General features: G+C 38.3%; 1 protein-coding gene and 1 non-coding gene across 13 annotated transcripts in view, besides 2 other annotated features; one reads left to right on the top strand and one right to left on the bottom strand.

The window, feature by feature from the left end:
• RABGAP1L (RAB GTPase activating protein 1 like) overlaps window positions 1-24,227 on the bottom strand; it is an 835,789-nt gene that overhangs the window by 781,290 nt on the left and 30,272 nt on the right. For 3 of the 12 annotated variants that reach the window (XM_011510223.3, XM_047436028.1, XM_047436050.1), the window contains exon 2: window positions 20,335-20,421. The exons of the other annotated variants lie outside the window; for them this stretch is intronic. The gene's annotated coding sequence lies outside the window, so the exon portion shown is untranslated. The remainder of the gene's footprint in view (window positions 1-20,334; window positions 20,422-24,227) is intronic. 12 annotated transcript variants of the gene reach the window in all.
• Window positions 4,340-4,479: an enhancer, noted in NCBI's record as "active region_2122". NCBI's record gives its function as "activates an Ori minimal core promoter by ATAC-STARR-seq in GM12878 lymphoblastoid cells {active_cell/tissue: GM12878}" and the evidence as "EXISTENCE:reporter gene assay evidence [ECO:0000049][PMID:35858748]".
• Window positions 9,032-9,081: an enhancer, noted in NCBI's record as "active region_2121". NCBI's record gives its function as "activates an Ori minimal core promoter by ATAC-STARR-seq in GM12878 lymphoblastoid cells {active_cell/tissue: GM12878}" and the evidence as "EXISTENCE:reporter gene assay evidence [ECO:0000049][PMID:35858748]".
• On the top strand, window positions 13,789-13,890 carry LOC124904825 (small nucleolar RNA U13). The gene has a single exon (XR_007067421.1). It is a non-coding gene; the product is annotated as a small nucleolar RNA U13 (small nucleolar RNA).

The raw sequence follows: 24,227 nt of genomic DNA, 5'->3' as shown, positions 1-24,227 counted from the left end.
TTTATTGCTTTCTCTTGTCTGATAGCTCTAGCTAGGACTTCCAGTATATGCTGAAAACAAAAGCAGTGAAAGTATGCATCCTTATTGTGTTATCAATCTCAGAGAAAAGGCTTTCAGCTTTTCCTTCTTCAGTATGATATTAGCAATGGGTCTCTCATACATGGCTTTTATTATGTTGAAGTATATTTCTTCCTTACCCAGTTCTTTAAGGGTTTTTATCACGAAGCGATGTTGAATGTTTTCAAATGCTTTTTTATCATCAACTGAAATCATCATCTGAAATCATCATATGGTTTTCATCCTTAATTCTGTTGATATGATGTATCACACCGATTGATATGTGTCTGTTGAACCATATTTGCATCCCTGGGATAAATCCCACTGATTGTGATCAATTTGATCTTTCTAATGTGTTCCTGTGTTTTGTTTGGTAACATTTTGTTGAGGATTTTTGCATCGATATTCATCAGAGATATTAGCCTACAGTTGTTTACTTGTTTGTTTTTGATGTGTCTTTGGTTGGGTATGAGGGTAATATTAGCCTCTTAGAATGACTTTGAAAGTATTCCCTTCTCCTCTATTTTTTGGAATAGTTTGAGTAAGTCTCACTCTGTCGCTCAGGCTGGAGTGCAGTGGCACAATCTCGGCTCACTGCAACCTCCACCTCCCAGGTTCAAGTGATTATCCTGCCTCAGCCTCCAGAGTAGCTAGGACTACAGGCATGCACCACCGTGCCCAGTTAATTTTTGTATTTTTAGTAGAGACAGGGTTTCACCATGTTGGCCAGGCTGGTCTTGAATTCCTGACCTCAGGTGATCCACCCACCTCAGCCTCCCAAAGTGCTGGGATTACAGGCATGAGCCACCATGCCCAGCTGGAATAGTTTGAATATATTTGATTAGTTCTCTAAATGTTTGGGAAAGTTCACCAGTGAAGCCATCAGGTCCCAGGCTTTTTTTGCTAGGACACTTTTCATTACAGCTTCAATCTCATTACTTGTTATTGGTCTGTTGAGGTTTTGGATTTCTTCACAGTTCAATCTTGATAGATTGTATGTGTCTAGGAATTTAGCCATTTCTTCTAGGTTTTCCCATTTATTGGCATATAGTTGCTCATAGTAACCACTAATGATCCTTTGAATTTCTGCAATATCAACTGTAATGCCTCCTTTTTCATCTCTGATTTTATTTTATTAATTTGGATCTCTCTTTTTCTCTTAGTCTGGCTAAGGGTTTGTCAATTTTCATTAACTTTTCAAACCACCAGCTTTTGGTTTTGTTGATCTATTATATTATTTTCTTCATGTCAAATTAATTTATTTCTGCCCTGATCTTTATTATTTCTTTTTTTCTACTAATTTTGGGTTTGGTTTGCTCTTGTTTTTCTAGTTCTTTAAGTATTGTTAGGTCGCTTACTTGAAGTTTTTCTTCTTTTTTGATGTAGGCACTTACAGTAATAAATTTCCCTCTTAGTACTGCTTTAGCTGTATCATATATGTTTTGGTATCTTCTGTTTCCATTATCATTTGTTTCAATGAATTTTTCAATTTCCTCCTTAATTTCTTCATTGATGCACTGGTCATTCAGGAGCATGTTGTTTAATTTCCATGTGTTTGTATAGTTTCTAAAATTCCTTTTGTTACTGATTTCTATTAGGTTGGTGCAAAAGTAATTGCCTTTTTAACGGCAAAGACCACAATTACTTTTGCACCAACCTAAGTTTCATTCTGTTGTCGTCAGAGACAATGCTTGATATTATTTCTTTTTTTGATGTTTTAAAACTTGTTTTGTGACCTAAGTACGGTCTATCCTTAAGAATAATCCATGTACTGAGGAAAAAAATATGTATTCTTCAGTCATTGGATTAAATGTTCTATAAACATCTATGAGGTCCATTTGGTCTATAAGGCACATTAAGTCTGATTACTCTTTGTTGATTTTTTGACTGGAAGATCTGTTCAATGTTGAAAGTGATGTGTTGAAGTTTCCAGCTGTTATCGTATTTGGGTCTATCCCTCTCTTTAGCTCTAATATCTGCTTTATATATCTGGGTGCTCTAGGGTTAGGTGCATATATATGTACAATCATTATATCCTCTTGCTGAATTGACCTTTTAGTCATTATACAGTGATCTTCTTTGTCTCTTCTAATAGTTTTTGTCTTAAAATCAATTTTGTCTGATAGAAGTATAGCTATTCCTGCTCCTTTTTGGTTTCCATTGACATGGAATATCTTTTTCCATCCTTTTATTTTCAGTCTATGTGTGTCTTTACAGGTAAAGTATGTTTCATGTAGGCAACAGATCAGTGGGTCTTGGTTTTTTATACATTCAGCCACTACTCTGTATCCTTTCATTGGAGAGTTTAATCCATTTACATTCACTGTTATTGCTGATAAGTAAGGACTTACTCCTATAACTGTTACTTGTTTTCTGGTATTTGCTTCCTTCTTTCCTTTCTGTCATCCTTTTAGTCAAGGTGATTTTCTATGATGGCATGATTTAATTTCTTGCTTCTCAATTTTTTTGTACTTATTGTATGTTTTTAGATTTAAGGTTACAATGAGTCTTGCAAATACTATCTTGTAACCCATTATTTTAAGCTGATAACAACACTTTGCATAAGCAAGCAAACAAGCAAGAAGAAAACTCATAAAGACACTACACCCTAACTTTATCCCCTGCTTAATCTTTTCTTGTTTCTATTTATATCTTTTTTGATTATCTATGTCTTGAAAAGTTGTTGCAGTTATTATTTTTTATTGGTTCATCATTTAGTCTTTCTACTTAGGACAAGAGTAGTTTACACACCACAGTTACTGTTACCATACTCTGTCTTTTTCTGTGAATTTACTATTACCAGTGAGTTTTGTACCTTCAGATAATTTCTTAATGCTCATTAACGTTCTTTTCTTTCTGGTTGAAGTACTCCCTTTAGCATTTCTTATAGGACAGGTCTGGTGTTCATGAAATCCCTCAGCTTTTGTCTGAGAAAGTCTTTACTTCTCCTTCATGTTTAAAGGATATTTTCACCAAACATATTATTCTAGAGTAAAAGTTTTTTCCTTCAGCACTTTAAACATGTCCTGCTGCTCTCTTCTGGTATATAAGGTTTCCACTGAAAAGTCTGACACAATGGAGCTCCATTATATGTTATTTGTTTCTTCTCTCTTGCTTCTTTTAGGATCCTTCCTTTATCCTTGACCTTTGGAAGTCTGATTATTAAATGTCTTGAGGCAGACATCATCTTCCTTTAAATCTGCTTGGTGTTCTATAACCTTCTTGTACTTGGATATTGATATCTTTCTGTAGATTTGGTAAGTTCTCTGTTATTACCCCTTTGAATAAACTTTCTACCCATATCTTTCTCTATCTCCTCTTTAAGGCCAATAACTTTTAGATTTGCCCTTCTGAGGCTATGTTCTAGATCCTGTAGGCATGCTTCATTGTTTTTGTTCTGTTTTGTTTTTCTTTTGTCTCCTCTGTGTATTTTCAAATGGCCTATCTTCAAGTTCACAAATTCTTCCTTCGGCTTGATCAATTCTGCTATTAAAAGACTTCAATACATTCTTCAGTGTGTCAACAGCATTTTTCAATTCCAAAATTTCTGCTTGATTCTTTTTAATTATTTAAATCTGTGTTCAATATATCTGATAGAATTCTGAATTCCTTCTCTGTGTTTTCTTGAATTTCTTTGAACTGCCTCAAAACAGCTATTTTGAATTTTCTGTCTCGCTTTCTCCAGAATTGGTCCCTGGTGCCTTATTTAGTTCCTTTGGTAAGGTCATGTTTTCCTGAATGGTCTTGATGCTTGTCGATGTTCATCTGCGTCTGGGCATTGAAGAGTTAGGTATCTACTGTAGTCTTCTCAGTCTGGGCTTGTTTGTACCCATCTTCTTGGGAAGGCTTTCCTAGCATTCAAAAGGACTTAGGTGTTGTGATCTAAGCTGTATCTGCATTAGGGGCACTCCATCCAAACCCAGTAACACTGTGGATCTTGCAGACTCACAAAGGTATCACCTTGACGGTCTTGCGTAAGAGATCTGGGAGAATTCTCTTGATTACCAGGCAGAGACTTTTATTCTCTTTACTTACTTTCTCTCAAACCAATGGAATCTCCCTCTCTGTTCTGTGCCACCTGGGGCTGAGGATAGAGTGACACAAGACTCCTGTTTCACCACCACTGAAACTGCACTGAGTCAAACCTAAAGTCAGGACAGCACTGTGTCTCACCAAAGGCCTGCTGTAAGCACTACCTGGCTACCGCCTATGGCAGCTCAAGGTCTTGATGCTGTATAATCAACAGGTAGCAAAGCCAGCCAGGTTTGTGTCCTTCCCCTCAGGGCAACAAGTTCCCCTGGGCCCCAGGTGGGTCAAGAAGTGTCATCTGGGAGCCAGGGACTGGAGTTTAAAAACCTAGAAGTCTACCTAATATTCTACTATGCTACAGATGAGCTGGCACTCAAACCACAAGACACAATTCTTCCACTCATCCCTGTCGTTTCCACAGGCAGAGGAGCCTTATCCTGTGGCCACCCACAACACAGGCCCATTTGGTATACTTCCAAGCTACTGCCGATGTTCCCTTAAGGCCCAAGGGCTCTTCAGTCAGTTTCTGGTGAATGCTGGCTGGCCTGGGACTCATTCCTCAGGGCAGAGGGCTCCCCTCTGGTCCAGGGCAGGTCCAGAAATACCATCTAAGAGCCAAGGCCTGGAAAAGGGGACCCAAAGACTCCACTTTGTGCTCTACCTCATCCCCAACCCCCAGGCCACAGACTGATACTGGTCCCAGGCCTGTTAGGAACAAGGCCACAGAGCAGGAGGTACGCAATGCATAAGCGAGTATTATTATTGCCTGAGCTCCACCTCACATCCAATCAGCAGTGGCATTAGATTCTCATAGGAGTGTGAACCCTACTGTGTACTGCACATGTGAGGGATCTAGGTTGAGTGCTCCTTACAAGAATCTAACTAATGCCTGATAATTTGAGGTAGAACAGTTTCATCCAGCCCCCATTCCGTGGACAACAACCATCTTCCATGAAACTGGTCCCCTGTGCCAAAAAGGTTGGGGACTGCTGTTCTACCCCACTATGGCCAAGCTGATAAACTGAATAGCCCTATATTTTTAAAGGAAGCACCAAAGATGACTTCACTGGTAAACTCCACCAAACATTTAAAGAAGAAATAATATCAATTTTCCACAATATCTTCCAGAATATAGAAGCAGAGGTAATACTTTCTAACTCATTCTGTGAGATCAGCACTGCTCTAATACCAAAACCAGATAACAAGAAAAATGAAAAACTATACATCCATATCTATAATGACATTAATACAAAAATTCTTAACAAAATATTAGAAAACCATATCCAACAATGTATTAAAAGAATTATATACCAGGTACGAAAGACTGGCTCAACATTCAAAAACCAATCAATGTCACCCTACATATCAATAGGCTAAAGAAAAATCATAATCATGTCAATTGAAATGCATTTGACAAAATCCAACATCCACTCATAAAACAAAACAAAACAAAAACTCTCAGTAAACTAGCAATTGAGGGGAATTTCCTCCAATAAATAAATTTACAAAACATCACACTTAATAATCACGAAGCAGACACTTTCCCCCTAAGATTGGAAGAAATAAAACGTATACAGATTGGAAAGGAAGAAATCAAACTGTCTTTATTTACAGATTACATGATTGTCAATGTGGAAAACCTAAAGATTCAAAAAGAGAAAAAAAAAACCCTCAGAACTAATAAGCAAGTACAGTAAGGTTGGAGGATACAAGGTCAATATACAAAAGTCACTATCCTCCCTACATACAATGGACAATAGGAATTTGAAAGTTAGAAAAGCAGTATCATTTACAATAGCAAGGGAAAAATTGAAATACTTAGGTATAAATCTAACAAAATATGCATAGGGTCTGTAAGCAGAAATCTAAAAAACACTGAGGAAGGAAATTAAATCAGATCTAATTAATGTAGAGATATTCAATGTTCATGGATTAGGAAATTCAAAGTTGTTAAATTGTCAATTCTTCCCAACTTGAGTACTTGATTCAAAAAATAACTTGTTGAGACTGATTGAGCACTGAACACCCAACTACAAGTTAGACTCTTTATCCACAAATTCGGCCACTTAGATGAAGGAGACCAGTTCCTTAAAAGACACAAAGTACCAAAATTCACACCAGGAGACACAGATAACTTGAATACCCCTATATTTTTCAAGAAACTGAATCAACAATAATTAATAGCCTTCTAAAAAAGACCTATCTGCACATGGGCAGGGACCAAGTCTATTTTTATTTTAGCCAACACATCCCCAGGACAGTATCTACACACACTATGCCTCAATAAATACTTCTTTAATAACCAAATGAATTATTTGGGATAGCAAGATGGATTCCAGCATCAGGTAGGAAGTTGGACTGCATGAGTTCTAAAGTCAAGTACTGACTTGACTCAAGATTCTCATGCTATGTGATTTCCAGAAGAATCCAGTCAGCTCCTGACCTACATTCCAAAACGTCCTTTCAAAATATAATTTACTAAGTCTACTATTATGCAGCAGTGTGCTATAACAAAATGTTAACTTTGTCTTTATGTATGGCAATCTGCTATTATTTCAAATCAAAAGAAATAACAGCTGGAATATTCTCAGAGGTCTTTTAAATAATATGAAGCTCACTGTTCTAGTGAACTTCAGACTAATACATCCATTTCAACGCAGCATGTACTACAGAGCAGTGTACAAATGCAAAACTGCTTTAAAATGCATTTAGTTAAGACTGCTCTGTTGCAATCTAAAAATCAGAATATAAAATCTGACAAAAGATTTTTATGTTTCTTCAGGTGCAAAAAATAATGGAAATATAGGCATAAATATTTTCACTTTCAGGGCATTTTAAAGATATACGGAAATAAGGAACAGAAGCTTATCAGCATTATAGAAAATCTGGTATGTATCAGTGTTTTGTTTCTTCTATCCATCCCCTTCTAAACTCAAAGGAGCTCAATAAATATTTAGATTAAATTAAATCACTTAAAGACACACTTCTCCCCCATACCTACAGCAATTCTACCAGTGAAATAGCTTATAATTCTTACTTTAATGCCACATCATTTTTGCTAAATGAGCAATAATGATATCTAAATTAATACCTCACTTGGATGCCTAAAACTACAATTTTCACATATACAAGAAATAGTACAACAATATTCAGCAATGTCTAACTGAAAGCTATTTTCTTCCCAAAATAACGTAACATATTCGAAAGTGTGCAATCACAGTGCACGTGATCTAATTTCCTTCAGTGCCAAATGTGGTTAGCCTCCTTCTTGCTTTTAGATCACGTGTTTGTGCCTACTCATTTTCAAGTGGCTCCTGAGCTAAAATAGAAACCTAAAAATATAAGGGTGAGTCAAGATTGGATAGGCTGCAAAGACTATCAGGCATTAGAATTAGAATGACTGTAGGAGATCCATAACAAAAGTAGAAAGGGAACTATTCTTAACTTACACTAAGAAAATGGACAAATACTTTATAGAACAACATTTGCCAACCAAAATTCTTCTGTGCTTTGAAAAACTGAGCCAATCCAGGAAAAAATTACCATGACTTTTGTTTACTAAACAGTCTATCCACTACTCTAGTTCCCAAGCAAGAACCAAACCAATATGTATGCATGTACACAAGTATGTCTCTAGCTCTGAAAAGGGGACAAAAGAACTTTATTAATTCACATTACTTTAATGGATACCTATTTTTATCTGTCCAACAATAATTCTCAAACATCTTATTCTGCGAATAAGCCTTCTCTCTACTTAAACCACATAGCTTTTATAAAAATGTCAACCCCACAGCCAAATAGATGAATCTAAGCTAGATCAATTAATCCAATTTCTAAGATTTTTGGACTAGTGACCAGCCATGTTTTTCCTCAATGAAGAATGACAGTGTGCAGTGAGAGAGAAAAGTAAACCCTAGACGGAGACAAGAAAAAGGGTCTTAACCAAGTCATATCCCTGAGTCATTCCTGAGGCCTAGCTCCAATTGTCCCCATCCTCAGTCTTAATAAATCTTCCATTTTTTATTTCCCTAAAATATTCCTTTCAACAAATTATTTTTGCACAAATTAGTTTAAATTGGGTTTCTAGAATTAGAGAAGCAAGAAGAAATCAACACCAAAGCTACCAGAAGAAAAGAAGTATTCAAAATCAGAGCTGAACTGAAGTAAATAGAGACAAGAAAAAACAATTAAAAGATGAATGAATCCAGGAGTTGGTTTTTTGAAAAACTTAGTAAGATACATAGGCCACTAGCTAGAGTAATAAAGAAAAGAGAGAACACAATTAGAAATAACAAAGGAAATGTTACCACTGACCCCACAGAAATAAAAAATAACCATCAGAAACTACTACAGACACCTCTATGCATACAAACTAGAAAGCCTAAAAGAGACATAAATTCCTGGACACATATGTCCTCCCAAGACTGAACCAGGAAGAAACTGATTCCCCACAGAGACCAATAACAAGCTCCAAAATTGAATCAGTAATAAAACGTCTACCAACCAAAAAAATCCCAGGACCTGATGGATTCACAGCTGAATTCTACCAGATCTACAGAGAAGAGCTGGTACCATTCCTACAGAAACTATTCCAAAAAACTGAGGAGGAGGGACTCCTCCCCAACTCATTCTATGAGGCCAGCACCATCCTGATAAACACAACAATAAAAGAAAACTGCAGGCTAATATCCTTGATGAACATCAACGCAAAAATCCTCAACAAAATACTTGAAAACCGAATCCGGCAACACATCAAAAAGCTAATCCACCACAATCAAGCAGCCTTCATCTCCAGGATGTGAAGTTGGTTAAACATACACAAATCAATAAATGTGACTCATCACAAAAACAGAACTAAAGACAAAAACCACGTGATTATCTCAAGAGAAGCAGAAAAGGCCTTTATTAGTCCATTCTCACATTGCTATAAAGAACTACCCATGACTGGGTAATTTATGAAGAAAGGAGATTTCACTGACTCACAGTTCCACAGGCTGTACAGAAAGCATGGCTGGTAGGCCTCAGAAAACTTAACAATCATAGCAGAAGGCGAAGGGCAAAGAAGCACATCTTACCATGGAGGAGCAGGAAAGAGAGAGAGAGTGAAGGGGGAAGTACTACACTCCACATCTCGTGAGAACAACCAGATCTTGTGAGAACTCACTCACTACCATGAGAACAGCAAGGGAGACATCCGCCCCCAGGATCCAATCACCTCCCACCAGGTCCCTCCCCTAACACTGGGGATTACAATTCAATATGAGATGTGGATGGGGACACAGAGCTAAACCATATCAAGGCCTCTGGTAAAATTCAACACCCCTTCATGTTAAAAATTCTCAGTAAACTATGTACTGAAGGAATAAAATAATAAGCCATCTATGACAAACCCACAGCCAACATTATACTCAACGGTCAAAAGCTAGAAGCATTCCCTGTAAAAACCGGCACAACACAAGGATGCCCTCTCTCACCACTCCTATTAAAAATAGTATTGGAAGTCCTAGCCAGAGCAATTAGGCAAGAGTAAGAAAGAGCATTCAAACAGAAAGAGTAGAAGTCAAACTATCTCTGTTTACAGATAACACGACTCTATATCTAGAAAGCCCCAGTCTCAGCCCAAAAGCTCCTTCAGCTGATAAACAACTTCAGCAAAGTTTCAGGATACAAAATCAATGTACAGGCCAGGCACAGTGGCTCACACGTATAATCCCAGCACTTTGGGAGGCTGAGGTGGGCAGATCACTTGAGGTCAGGAGTTTGAGACCAGCCTGGCCAACATGGTGAAATCCTGTCTCTACTAAAAATACAAAAATTAGCTGGGCATGGTGGCACATGCCTGAAATCCCAGCTATTCAGGAGGTTGACACACAAGAACACTTGAACCTGGGAAGTGGAGGTTGCAGTGAGCCGAGATTGTGCCACTGCACTCTAGTGCCACTGCACTCTGGGCAACAGAGAGATACACTATCTTTAAAAAAAAAAAAAAAAAAATCAATGTACAAAAATCACTAGCATTCCTATACACCAACAACAGCTAAGCCAAGAGCCAAATCAGAAAGGCAATCCCATTCCAAATTGCCACAAAAAGAACAAAATACCTGGGAATACAGCCAACCACGAGGTAGAACATCTCTACACTAAGAATTATAAAACACTGCTCAAGGAAATCAGAAACAACACAAATAAATGGAAAAACATCCCATGCTCATGGATAGAATGTCATTGAAATGGCCAAACTGCCTAAAGCAATTTACAGATTCAATGCTATTCCTATCAAACAACATTCTTCACAGAACTAGGAAAAACTATTTTAAAATTCATATGGAACCAAAAAAAGAACCTGAACAGCCAGAGAAATCCTAAGCAAAAATAACAAAGCTGAAGGCACCATGTTACCCAACTTCAAACTATACTACAGGGCTACAGTAACCAAAACAGCATGGTACGGGTACAAAAACAGGCACATAGACCAATGGAACAAAATAGAGAGCCCAGAAATAAGGCCACACACCTACAACCATCTGATCTTTGACAAAGCTGACAAAAACAATGGGGAAAAGACTCCCTGTTCAATAAATGGTGATGAGATAACTGGCTAGCCATATGCAGAACACTGAAGATGGACCATTTCCTTACATCATATACAAATGAGCAATGGGGAAAAGACTCCCTATTCAATAAATAGTGATGGGATAAACTGGCTAGCCACACACAGAACACTGAAGGTGGACCATTTCCTTACATCATAAACAAAAATTAACTCAAGATGGACTAAAGACTTAAGTGTAAAACCCAAAATTATAAAAATCCTGTAAGACAACCTAAAAAATACCACCCTGGACATAGGAACAGGCAAAGATTTCATGACGAAGACATCAAAGCAATCACAATAAAGGAAAAAAAGGACAAGTGGGATCTAATTAAATTCATGAGCTTCTGCACAGCAAAAGAAATAATACCACACATCTACAACCATCTGATCTTTGACAAACCTGACAAAAAGAAGCAATGGGGAAAGGATTCCCTATTTAATAAATGGTGCTGGGAAAACTGGCTAGCCATATGTAGAAAGCTGAAACTGGATCCCTTCCTTACACCTTATACAAAAATTAATTCAACATGGATTAAAGACTTAAATGTTAGACCTAAAACCATAAAAACCCTAGAAGAAAACCTAGGCAATACCATTCAGGACATAGGCATGGGCAAGGACTTCATGTCTAAAACACAGAAAGCAATGGCAACAAAAGCCAAAATTGACAAATGGGATCTAATTAAACTAAAGAGCTACTGCACAGCAAAAGAAACTACCATCAGAGTGAACAGGCAACCTACAAAATGGGAGAAAATTTTTGCAACCTACTCATCTGACAAAGGGCTAATATCCAGAATCTACAATGAACTCAAACAAATTTACAAGAAAAAAACAAACAACCCCATCAAAAAGTAGGCGAAGGATATGAACAGACACTTCTCAAAAGAAGGCATTTATGCAGCCAAAAACCACATTAAAAAATGCTCACCATCACTGGCCATCAGAGAAATGCAAATCAAAACCACAATGAGATACCATCTCACACCAGTTAGAATGGGAATCATTAAAAAGTCAGGAAACAACAGGTGCTGGAGAGGATGTGGAGAAATAGGAACACTTTTACACTGTTGGTGGGACTGTAAACTAGTTCAACCATTGTGGAAGTCAGTGTAGCGATTCCTCAGGGATCTAGAACTAGAAATACCATTTGACCCAGCCATCCCATTACTGGGTATATACCCAAAGGATTATAAATCATGCTGCTATAAAGACACATGCACACGTATGTTTATTGTGGCACTATTCACAATAGCAAAGACTTGGAACCAACCCAAATGTCCAACAATGATAGACTGGGTTAAGAAAATGTGGCACATATACACCATGGAATACTAGCAGCCATAAAAAATGATGAGTTCATGTCCTTTGTAGGGACATGGATGAAGCTGGAAACCATCATTCTCAGCAAACTGTCGCAAGGACAAAGAATCAAACACCGCATGTTCTCACTCGTAGGTGGGAATTGAACAATGAGAACACATGGACACAGGAAGGGGAACATTACACACCGGGGACTGTTGTGGGGTGGGGGGAGGGGGGAGGGATAGCATTAGGAGATATACCTAATGCTAAATGACGAGTTAATGGGTGCAGCACACCAACATGGCACATGTATACATATGTAACAAACCTGCACGTTGTGCACATGTACCCTAAAACTTAAAGTATAATTAAAAAAAAGAAAAAAAAAAGCCAAGCAATAATAGCATGAGAGGTAGTTTAACAAAAAAAAGAAAAATACAAGCACACATTCCCTTTAGACTCTAGCACACTGTGTAGCATCTACATAAAATAAATGATGATAGAATAAAGTACATATCACAGCTAAAGAATAGTTTCTAGGCCGGGTGCGGTGGCACCTGTAATCCCAGCCCCTTGGGAGGCCAAGGTGGGCGGATCACCTGAGCTCAGGAGTTCGAGACTAGACTAACCAACATGGTGAAACTCCATCTCTACTAAAACAAACAAAAATTAGCCGGGTGTGGTGGTGGGTGCCTGTAATCCCAGCTACTCGGGAGGCTGAGGCAGGAGAATCACTTGAGTAAGACTCCATCTCAAAAAAAAAAAAAAAAAATTTCTACACTGGGTGTGGTGGCTCACACCTGTAATTTCAACACTTTGGGAGCCTGCGACGGATTACTGCTTGAGGCCAAGAGTTCAAGACCAGCCTGAGCAACAGAGGGAGACTCTTGTCTCTGCAAAAAAAGAAAAATTAAAACTAAAATTAAAAAATAGTTTCTATAAACTACCATAATGATAGGAGCAGACTAAAACAAAAATTAACGACCAAAGTGAGCACCTCTTTCTGAATGAAAGAAAAGTGACATGTAAAACGACGGCCCTGGTGGTTGCTACTGAAGGGACAAGAAAAGAAACTTGTTTAAACAGGCAAAGCCACAGTGACTTCAGATGTGGATAACTGAAACCAAACGGGGACACATTGAAAAAGTTTTTCATCTTTTTTCAAAACAAAAGACACTGTACTTTATCCTATAAAGGTTATTTATATAAATGCAAAATACCAGCAGGGACAAGAGAACATAGCTAAAATTGTATGTATCAAATAATATTGCAGCATAATTATTAGAAAAACAAGGTTCAACGTGACTAGAAAACAAATATAGCAGGAAACAAACATGATCTCAATCCCAGAAATGTCAAGTAAACAAAAAAGCACAGAAAATTTAAACCTTAGAAGTATCAAAGTGGCATAAACTAAATATAACACAATTTGTAACCTTCAAAATATAACTTGTGCCACCTCTGGAAGCAGTTTCAACAATCTCCCCAACTGATTAAATCTACTCTAGTAAAATATGATTATTCTATAGGTTTATGGCAAAAACATCTGTATATACATGTTTTCTAGGAGCCATCCCTCTACCTCATATACAGATTTCTTTTTAATTTTTACTCATATTCAGGTAACTGTAGATAATAACCTAATGGACTAATCAAGTACAAAAAGGTATAGAATTTTCCTGTCAAGAATAGAAGCTGTTATGCCAGCTTACTTTGTTAATTTGCCAAAGAGTAAGATATATGTGTTTCACATTTTAGGAACACCAGATTGTTAGCTAACACCTACACAAGAACTCATATAGATCCTTTTGTAGTTCATAAGCATGATAACTGGGTTTTCACACACATATGAGATGTGCCTCCCTCAAACCTTGCTACAGCATTGGTACATTATCTGTCTAACATGGAAGAAAAAGACATCTCAGGTACCTATTTTAGCTTATTTGATTTTTACTTCCCTCTTACTCTAACTTGTTACGAAAATCTCAAATCTTAATGAAAACAATGAATATGACTTCTTTAACATTTATTTTCTCTTTAAAGAAATACCTGGATTTAAATCTATAAACCTCATATTTGTTTCCTATGAGTAATCATGACTAGAGAGAACCTAAGAAAGTATTTTTTAGAGCCAATAATTCTAAGAATAGCTATTACTTCCTTCATGGATTTTTCAGTTTTCCCTCAATCACCCTCACTGTTATTTCCCTGAAGCATTTTGCCAAACCACATTATGAGGGAGGGGAGACAAGAACCATCAACACTGATTTTTGACTCATGGAAACCCAGAATAAAATTTGCCCTATTTAAGATTTTCAAAAGACCGTTAGAGATATTGAATTGGCTCTCACAATCATGAAGGAATCCACTATTAAGGAAATAATGAACAAAACAACTGATCTTTTAAAACAGAATGTTTTAGAATTGAAAAACAATGTATGGGCCGGGCATGGTGGCTCACATCTGTAATCCCAGCACTTTGGGAAGCCAAAATGGGCGGATCACTTGCGGTCAGGAGTTCGAGACCAGCCTGGTCAAAATAGTGAAACCCCATCTCTACTAAAAATACAGAAATTGGCTGAGTGTGGTAGTATACGCCTGTAATCCTAGCTGCTCAGGAGGCTCAGGCAGGAGAATTGCTTGAATCCGGCAGGCAGAGGTTGCAGTGAGCCAAGACCACACCACTGCACTTCAGCCTGGGCAGTAGAGCGAGACCCTGTCTTAAAAAAGAAAAAAAACAATACATGAATAAAATTGCCTCCACTAAAATATATGACTCAAGATCTTACTGGTCGAGTGAGTAAAATAACATAAAATTCAGGTCTGATATGTCCATAATTTTCATATCCCATAACTTTAAGTGTTTATATTGAAGGCACTGAATTTTTTAATTTTCCTCAGTAATAAGAACTTTTTCTTTTGTCGAGATGGAGTTTTGCTCTTGTTGCCCAGGCTGGAGTGCAATGGCGCAATCTTGGCTCACTGCAACCTCCGCCTCCCAGGTTCAAGCGACTCTACTGCCTCAGCCTCCCGAGTAGCTGGGATTACAGGCATGCGCCACCACGCCCGGCTAATTTTGTATTTTTAGTACAGATGGGGTTTCTCCATGTTGGTGAGGCTGGTCTCGAACTCCCAACCTCAGGTGATCCACCCGCCTCAGCCTCCTAAAGTACTGGGATTATAGGCGTGAGCCACCATGCCCGGCCCTGGCCCTCATCTCTTTTCCCATTAATGCTGGAGGGGGCGCCTCACAAGCCAAGACACCTGCTAGTTGTTGGACTCACTCACTCTTGATGACCAAGGTGCCCGGCCAATAATATGAACTTTTAAATATTACTTTACCTCAATTCCCCAATACAGTGCAATGCATGCTGCTGCTGATCAGAAAATCTCATTTCCAATGCACCCTGTTGCTATCAGAAAATCCTCATTTGATTACTAAAAAGATTTTCATTTTGGAAAGACTTATTTTCATGTAACTTCAACAATCATCTTAAATCAAATAAATCTAAATACTAACTCAGAATCCAAAGAGCTTAAAAATTCAACTATTCTCATTAAGTCAATTCCTTGAATTTAGGGATTATTTACTGTGTGTCCTTCTCTCTCTAAAAGCCAAGAGTAATATCACAAATCTGCAAAGTCATTGTGAGGCTGGTTTAGTACAGTAAATAACTCCAAAATGAACTCAACAATAATGTATTTATTACTTCAAGAAACTCCTGAAGGCCTTTCTCTGTATATTATAAACAAGATCTAAACCATATACACTATGGATTTGGACATTTTTATCATTACAGCATGAATATTTAAAAATCAAGAAAAGTAACAATTATTTACCAAGAACTATTCAATCACTTTTATAGTCAGTGATTATTAGACTATAATAATCACTATATATTAGACTATAATTAGAACAGTGTTTCTAAGTCATAATAAGCATCTGTATTTCAAAAAAGGTTTCCAGTTGATCATGATACATATACCCAACTACTTTAAATATGCGCATTTTAGAGGAGTATGCTATGTAATCTCCTTATCTAATTTAATTCATACAACATTCACACAACCAATAATTATTGGGTCCATCTTCTGTAACAGGAACTATGGCTGATTCTGAAAACACATTCATATAAAATGGGTTTTTCTGCACTTCATGAAAAGGTGTCAGCTACATGCCCAGAACTCTAAGAATATCTACATAACACACACCATAACAGATTTTTTTTTTTTAGACGGAGTTTCGCTCTCGTTACCCAGGCTGGAGTGCAATGGTGCAATCTCAGCTCCCTGCAACCTCCGCCTCTTGAGTTCAAGTGATTCTCCTGCCTCAGCCACCCGAGTGGCTGAGATTACATGCGCCCGCAACCAATGCCCGGCTAATTTTTGTATTTTTAGTACAGACAGGGTTTCACCATGTTGTCCAGGCATAACAGATATTTTAAAAACAAGAGATCAGACGTATTGTGCTACGCTTAAGAAACAGAGAATCAAGCAGTGTGACAGAGGGGTTGTGAATGAGCAAAATTAAGGAAACAAATTCTATGGTTTTCCAAGTGTATTACGTGGAAACTCAGGGGCTCCTTTCACCAAGAGGGATCTAAACACATCTTCTACTGACCATCATGATTAAGATCGGGCAGTGTATCAGTCTGGAACCAAACCTACTTATAAGAGTTCAAGCCCTTTGGGATATTGACAAGAGGCCATTAAAACCTAACTATTTGACACTCAACTGCTGGAGTCAGACACTTGGGTTTAATCCTGGCTCTACTATTTATGAGCCTTATGACCTTAGGTGAGTAAATCTCTAAACTTCAACTTCATTAAGTTTACAGGAAAAACAGTATCTACCATAAAGTTGCTGAGAAAGAGAAAAGGATATAATTCATATGTAAAGCACTGGGCACAGTGCCTGGCACATTTTAAAAAGCTAAATAAATATTAATGTTTATCACTTATTGTTCTCTTTTATGATAATATGAATCCCAGATCAGTCATTCCTGGGGCTTCAAGAAATATTGCCACCTTTCATTTTTCTTAAATCAAAAATTTAATATGATCTATATCTACCTTTGTTATAAAACATCTCAAATTCCACCTTATGCTAAGACTAATACTAAGCTGGCAGAGACCTCCCACTTATAAAAATGAGCAGAAGACAAAGTTGATGTCCAAAAAAATACCATAATTCAAATTATGGATACTAGCCTAAACAATGAATGCACAATTTCTTCAGAAACAGATTTACTATAAGATACAGGAAAACATGTTTATAAAATTTCTAATTGATGTTCTCAGGACAATCCAAGAGAAGATTACAAACAAGAAACTAGAGCAGGAAGTTATGATGAGGAAACAATCTAAGATTTGGAGAAATTGCAGAGAAAAAATAATATGAAAACAACAGCAGAACTGGCCAGATTAGAACTTCAGTAAAGAGAAAAAAAAAAAAAAGAAAAAAGATTAAAAACTCAAAAAATTTTCCCAGAAAGAATAAAAGGATTAAGAAATATAAATGCTGCTCACGCCTGTAATCCCAGCACTTCGGGAGGCCGAGGCGGGTGGATCACAAGGTCAGGAGATCGAGACTATCCTGGCTAACACAGCGAAACCCCGTCTCTACCAAAAAATACAAAAAATTAGCCAGGCGTGGTGGCGGGCACCTGTAGTCCCAGCTGCTCGGAAGGCTGAGGCAGGAGAATGGCGTGAACCCAGGAGGCAGAGCTTGCAGTGAGCCAAGATCGTGCCACTGCACTCCAGCCTGGGCGACAGAGCAAGACTCAGTCTCAAAAAAAAAAAAAAGAAAGAAAGAAAGAAGTACAAATGCTGAGGAAAGAAAAATATGGAGATCATATCCAAAAGAGGCAATCTAAATAAAATAATTCCACAAGAAGAAAATAAAAAGAACTACAGCCCAGGCGTGGTGGCTCATGCTGGGAGGCCAAGGTGGGCGGATCACGAGGTCAGGAGACCCAGACCATCCTGGCTAAAACGGTGAAACCCTGTCTCTGCTAAAAATACAAAAAATTAGCCAGGCATGGTGGTGCATGCCTGTAATCCCAGCTACTCAGGAGGCTGAGGCAGGAGAATCACTTGAACCCAGGAGGTGGAAGTTGCAGTGAGCTGAGATCACGCCACTGCACTCCAGCCTGGACGATAGAGCAAGACTCTGTCTCAAAAAAAAAAAAAAGAAGAAGAAGGATAGAAAGAAAGAAGGATAGAAAGAAAGAAAGAAAGAAAGAAAAGAAAGAAAGGAAAGAGAGAAAGAGAGAAAGAGAGAAAGAAAGAAAGAAAGAAAAGAAAGAAAAGAAAGAAAAGAAAGAAGGAAAGAAGGAAAGAAGGAAAGAAGGAAAGAAGGAAAGGAAAGGAAAGGAAAGGAAGGAAGGAAGGAAGGAAGGAAGGAAGGAAGGAAGAAAGAAAGAAAGAAAGAAAGAAAGAAAGAAAGAAAGAAAGAATTGATTAAGAACCCTACCCAAAGTTACTAGTATCATAACAGGAATTGGAAACCAAACAATCTGGCTCCTCAGTCTGTGGTCTTAAACATATTACACTCTCAAAAAAATACGAGAAGGAAATTTTTCTAAACTGAAGAAAAATCTGAATCGGAACATGTACAGATTTTGAGTATATAGGGAAAAATTAATTAAAACATGCCAATATCTAAATACAGCCTAATAAAAACATTTTTCAATCCTACAGAAAAACAAGAAATCAAAAAAGATTATCTACAAAGAGGAAAAAAGGAGAAATGGATATTCGGAAGGGCCAAGAGGAATCAAGTTAATCTCAGACTTAGCCCTTTCCTCTGGAAAACTAAAAGCCAGATTATAATGGATCAACCCTTAAACTTTCCCAGGGAGAAACATAAAGATCAAAATCTGAGAATCCCATATCTGCACATGTACATAATCAAGTCCTTCTCAACTGAACAAGAACTCAGAAAAGAGATCACTCATATAATATACTCTTCCTGAAAATAATTATCCAAATATATATATTCCAGGTTATCAAGAAAGAGCCAAAATTTTAAAACAAACACTCAAGGAGGGGGAAATTAGTTTATAAAGAACTAAGAGTGAACAATAAAATCAATTCACACCATATTAGGGTGAAATCACTTGTGATTCAATGTAAAGACCTCCTGAAAAACCTGATTTTATAAACTGGAAAATAATAATTTGTGTCAATCTAATTTCAAAGCAAACCCTGTGCCCACCAGCAGTCACTACCCATTCTCTCCTTCCCCCACTCCTGGCAACCACCTATCTGTTGTCTGTCTCTTCCTGTTGCTTTTTCTTCTTATAACTTTTTAGACATTCCTGACTATTCAAGAGACTGTGGCTAAGGCGTGCCGGCCCACCAGATGTCAGGTAACTGATAACAATCTTAGCACTTTTCCTGGGGGCAATGCAGAGCCAACAGGTCACTTTCTCAGAACTGGTCTCTAAGATTTAAAATCCTACTGACAGTCCCAGGCTTTAGAATTAACTGAAGCCGGCCGGGCACGGTGGCTCATGCCTATAATCCCAGCACTTTGGGAGGCTGAGGTGAGCAGATCACGAGGTCAGGAGTTTGAGACCAGCATGGCCAACATGGTGAAACCCCATCTCTACTAAAGATACAAAAAATTAGCTGGGCGTGGTGGTGCACACCTGTAATCCCAGCTACTTAGGAGGCTGGGGCAGGAGAATCGCTTGAACCCAGGAGGCAGAGGTTTCAGTGACCTGAGATCATGCTATTGCCCTCCAGCCTGGGCGACAGGGCAAGACTCCGTCTCCAAAAAAAAAAAAAAAAGAATTAACTGAAGCCTAATCCCGTAGATTCTCCACCACCACCACCATTAATTACCACAAGGGAGAAGAGAATGGTTATGACTGACTGAGTGCTTAGTACGAATGCAATTAAAGAGGTACCAAAGCCAAGCAGGTCAGTGTTGACCCCATGCTGGGCACTAAGAATGCCTGGTTTTGAATCATGGCTTCTACATGGATCAGTTTAATGACCCTGAACACGTAACTTGGTCTCTCCGTGCCTTAATTTTTTTCAGATGGAGGATAAATATTCCCATCTCACAGGATTGTTGTTAACATAAAATGAGTTACCATAAGTGCTTAGAACAGCACACATAAAATTATTGCTCCTATTACTGTAGTAATCATTTAACTATGTATATGTATATCAAAATATCATGTTTTACACCTTAAATATATACTATTTTAAAAGCTCCTATTTCAAATGACAGGTATTCACTAATGTACAGTTGACCCCTATTAATACTCCCTTCCCCAAAACACATGAAGAATATTTCTGACATTTTATTTTGACAAGAAAATCAAAACCTCTACCTGGCATTCTGTTTAATGTTCCTATATATGGTCAAGTCTTCAATATAAGGGCATATCAGCATAAAGGCAATTGTAGTCTTTTGTTTCCTGAAATGAGTAGGTCAGAGAAACAATATTAGTTTAAGGAGACAGGTTTTCTATTTTGGGGATTTTTTCTGAGAGTCTTGCTCTGTCACCCAGGCTGGAGTGCAGTGGCAAGATCTCGACTCACTGCAACCTCCACCTCCCAGATTCAAGCGATTCTCATGCCTCAGCCTCCCGAGTAGCTGGGATTACAGGCATGCACCACCATGCCCAGCTAATTTTTGTATTTTTAGTAGAGACAGGGTTTTGTCATGTTGGCAAGGGTGGTCTTGAACTCCTGACCTCAGATGATCTGCCCGCCTGGGCATTCCAAAGTGCTGGGATTACAGGCGTGAGCCACCGCGCTCAGCCAAGTTGTCTACTTTTAACAGCACAATTTAAGAATGTAACAAATGTGGCAGTTAAAATTTTTAAAGATGTAAACATTCGAGGTTTGATTTGTTAAGAATAACTGTTAAGGATAACAGTTATCCTTTTATTACTACTATTTGCTAAACCAGAAACTACTACTATAAACCAGAAAGTTCTGGGCATTTTAGTCATGTTTATGTTCGCAGTCATCACTCAACTGTATTCCCACCTTACAAATGAAGGAATACGTTCAAAAGAGTTAATTTGTTTTATTTAATATAGCTAATTAAAATACATAATTCAGTCCAGATCTGAAGCAACCAAATCAATCTCACTTTGTGGTGGTCTGTCTCCTACAGTAACGACAGCATTGTCAGGTGCCCATCTGAAGCCCAATGGTGACATGCCTGCCTAGTTTCCTGCCCAAAGTGTTTATGTGAAGGGACTCTGGCAAAAAACCTATTCCTTTGTTCTCCTATTTTCATGTGGGGGCTTTCACTTTTTGCTAGGAGTGCAATACTGTAATATTCACCACATTTTCTAACTCACCTTTACCAGTAATGAAGCTCAATACTTTATTTTGATCCATGTTTGGCTTATTGTTTCTCTTCTCTGTTAAGAAATCAGAGGCTGGGTGCAGTGGCTCACGTGTGTAATCCCAGCACTTTGGGAGGCCGAGACAGGTGGATCACCTGAGGTTGGAAGTTCGAGACCAGTCTGGCAAGATGGTAAAACCCTGTCTCTAATAAAAATACAAAATTTAGCTGGGCATGGTGGCATGTGCCTATAATCCCAGCTACTTGGGAGGCTGAGGCACAAGAATCACTTGAACCTGGTAGGTGAAGGTGCAGTGAGCCAAGATCATGCCACTGCACTCCAGGCTGGGCAACAGAGTGACAGACTCCATCTCCAAAAAAAAAAAAAAAAAAAACACCTCAGACAGGTGGATAAGTGACTCAATTAGACTCTCTTGAACCTCCAACTGCCATGTGTTACGCAGTTAGAGAAATAATCAAGGTTTGAGATCAAGCAGATATAGTTAATGAAACACACTGACAACATAAAGAGAATTACAGGAATGAGTATTATCATTTACAGAATAAAACCACTAACATAAATGTTCTAAGTTCAATTATAACATTTCAGAGAAAGTCTATTTTTGAACATACCTTTACTTCCATCTATGAAATTTTTAGACCATTCAGTCTAATACTCTAACCACTTTGAAAAAAACTAAGTCAATATCACCTGCTTTTACTGCTGCACAGAAAGCAGACTCTAGTATAAATGCATTCAGTCCTACATTCTAATTCCAATTTTTAGTCTGGCCCATCTTTCCACTGATTAATGTAGATGTATTTCTAGACCTTTGCTTACTCTGATAAGCTAAATCCGAACATTTCCCTGTGCACTGACTGTTCCTGAGTCAGTGTGTCTCTATTATTCCAGGAATGTCTCAGCTTATGCCCCAAGCATCTTCTAGCATTATTCTCTACGCACTGGCTAATAAAAACCATCAGGGCAGTAAGCAAGCTGATTAAAGCATACCAAGCAGTTATAAGACCTGGGTTAAAGCCAAGAAGAAAGCAACAGGAATGTGGCAGGAAAAGGAGGAAGCAGCTAATAAATGTTTAATTAGCAGCTACTATATGATCCCCTCCCAAAAAAAGTATGGGTACACATTATTGGCCCAATTTATGAGGGTAGCAGACTCAAATTAAGTAATTTTCCCCAAGGCTATACTACACGTAAGAGGGAGAAAAGTAATGCAATGTTTCATGATCTGACTGGCCAATCTTTTTTTCTCAAACTGGTGACGTACATCTTCAGGCATAAACTGAAACATACCAGGGATACACTAAGAAAAAGAAAGTAAGTGCTAAACCAGGTATGTAGTGTCAGCTCTCTTCATTCACCCCAGTTTTCAAAAATCAACAGACAAACAGGAAATGATTTTTGTTTTTCCTTTTTCTGGCAGTAATTCAAATATTTCTATATTTTTATTAACAGTATGCAATGAAATGCAAAATTCACACACATTCCTGAGATAAAACACAGAATTTAAGAAATTTTCAAGCTATTATAAGGTACAGGCATACCTCATTTTATTGTGCTTCACTTTATTGTGCTTTTTCATTATTATTCTATCTGTTCTGGTGATCTGTGATCAGCGATCTTTGGTATTACTATTGCAATAGTTTACAGGTGCCACAAACCGCACCTATCTAAGACAGCGAACTTCAGAGTTTAAAGTCTCTGTGTGTTCTGCCTGCTCCACCAACTAGCCGTTCTTCCATCTCTTTCCCTCTCCTTGGGCCTCCCTATTCCTGAAACACAACAATATTGAAAATAGGCCAATTAATAATGCTACAATGGCTTCTAAGTGTTCAAATGAAAGGAAAAGTTGCAAGTCTCTCATTTTAAAGCAAAAGCTAGAAATGATTAAGCTTACTGAGGAAGGCAACATGTTGAATGCGGAGACAGGCCAAAAGCTGGGCCTCTTGTACCGGTCAGTGAAGTCTGAATGCAAAGATAAAGTTCTTTTAAAAAATTTAAAGTGCCAGTCCACTGAACACACAAATGGTAAGAAAGTGAAACAGCCTTTTGCTGCTGAGTAGAAAGTTTTAGTGCTTTGGATAGAATATCAAACCAACCAACCATTGTCTTAAGCCAAATCCCAATCCAGAGCTAGGCTCTAACTCTTCAATTCTAAGCAAGGATAAAAAGGGTAAGGAAGCCGCAGAAGAAAAGTATGAAACTAGCAGATGCTGATTCATGTCATTTATCTTAGTCTGCTTTCTATTGCTTATTAAAAAATACCTGAAACTTGGTAATTTATAAAAAAAAATGATTTCTTACAGTTATGGATGCTGAGAAGCCCAAGGTAAATGGGCAGCATCTGGTGAGAGCCTTCTTTCTTTCTTTCTTTCTTTTTTTTTTTTTTTTTTGCAACGGAGTCTCGCTCTGTCACCAGGGTGGAGTGCAGTGGTGTGATCTTGGCTCACCGCAACCTCTGCCTCCCGCGTTCAAGTGATTCTCCTGGCTCAGCCTCCCAAGTAGCTGGGACTACAGGTGCACGCCACCATGCCCAGCTAATTTTTGTATTTTTAGTAGAGACGGGGTTTCACCATGTTGGCCAGGATGGTCTTCATCCCCTGACCTCATGATCCACCCGCCTCGGCCTCCCAAAGTGCTGGGATTACAGGCGTTAGCCACTGCACCCAGCCAAGGGCCTTCTTTCAGGTGGGGACTCTCTGCAGAGTACTGAGCAGAACGGCAGAACAGGGAATCACATGGCAAAGAGGCTGAATATGCTAGCTCAGGTCTCTCTTCCTTTTTTCTTTTTGTTTGGAGACAGAGTCTCATTCTGTCACCCAGCCTGGGACTACAGGTGGCACTACAGGCACACACAACCACATCCAGCTAGTTATTTTTTTAGTTTTTGTAGAGACAGAGTC

Source organism: Homo sapiens, chromosome 1 (assembly GCF_000001405.40).
Source record: "Homo sapiens chromosome 1, GRCh38.p14 Primary Assembly".
Taxonomy (NCBI): domain Eukaryota; kingdom Metazoa; phylum Chordata; class Mammalia; order Primates; family Hominidae; genus Homo; species Homo sapiens.
The sequence above is the reverse complement of the archived record's forward strand: the minus strand, read 5'-3'. Positions and strand labels throughout refer to the sequence as shown.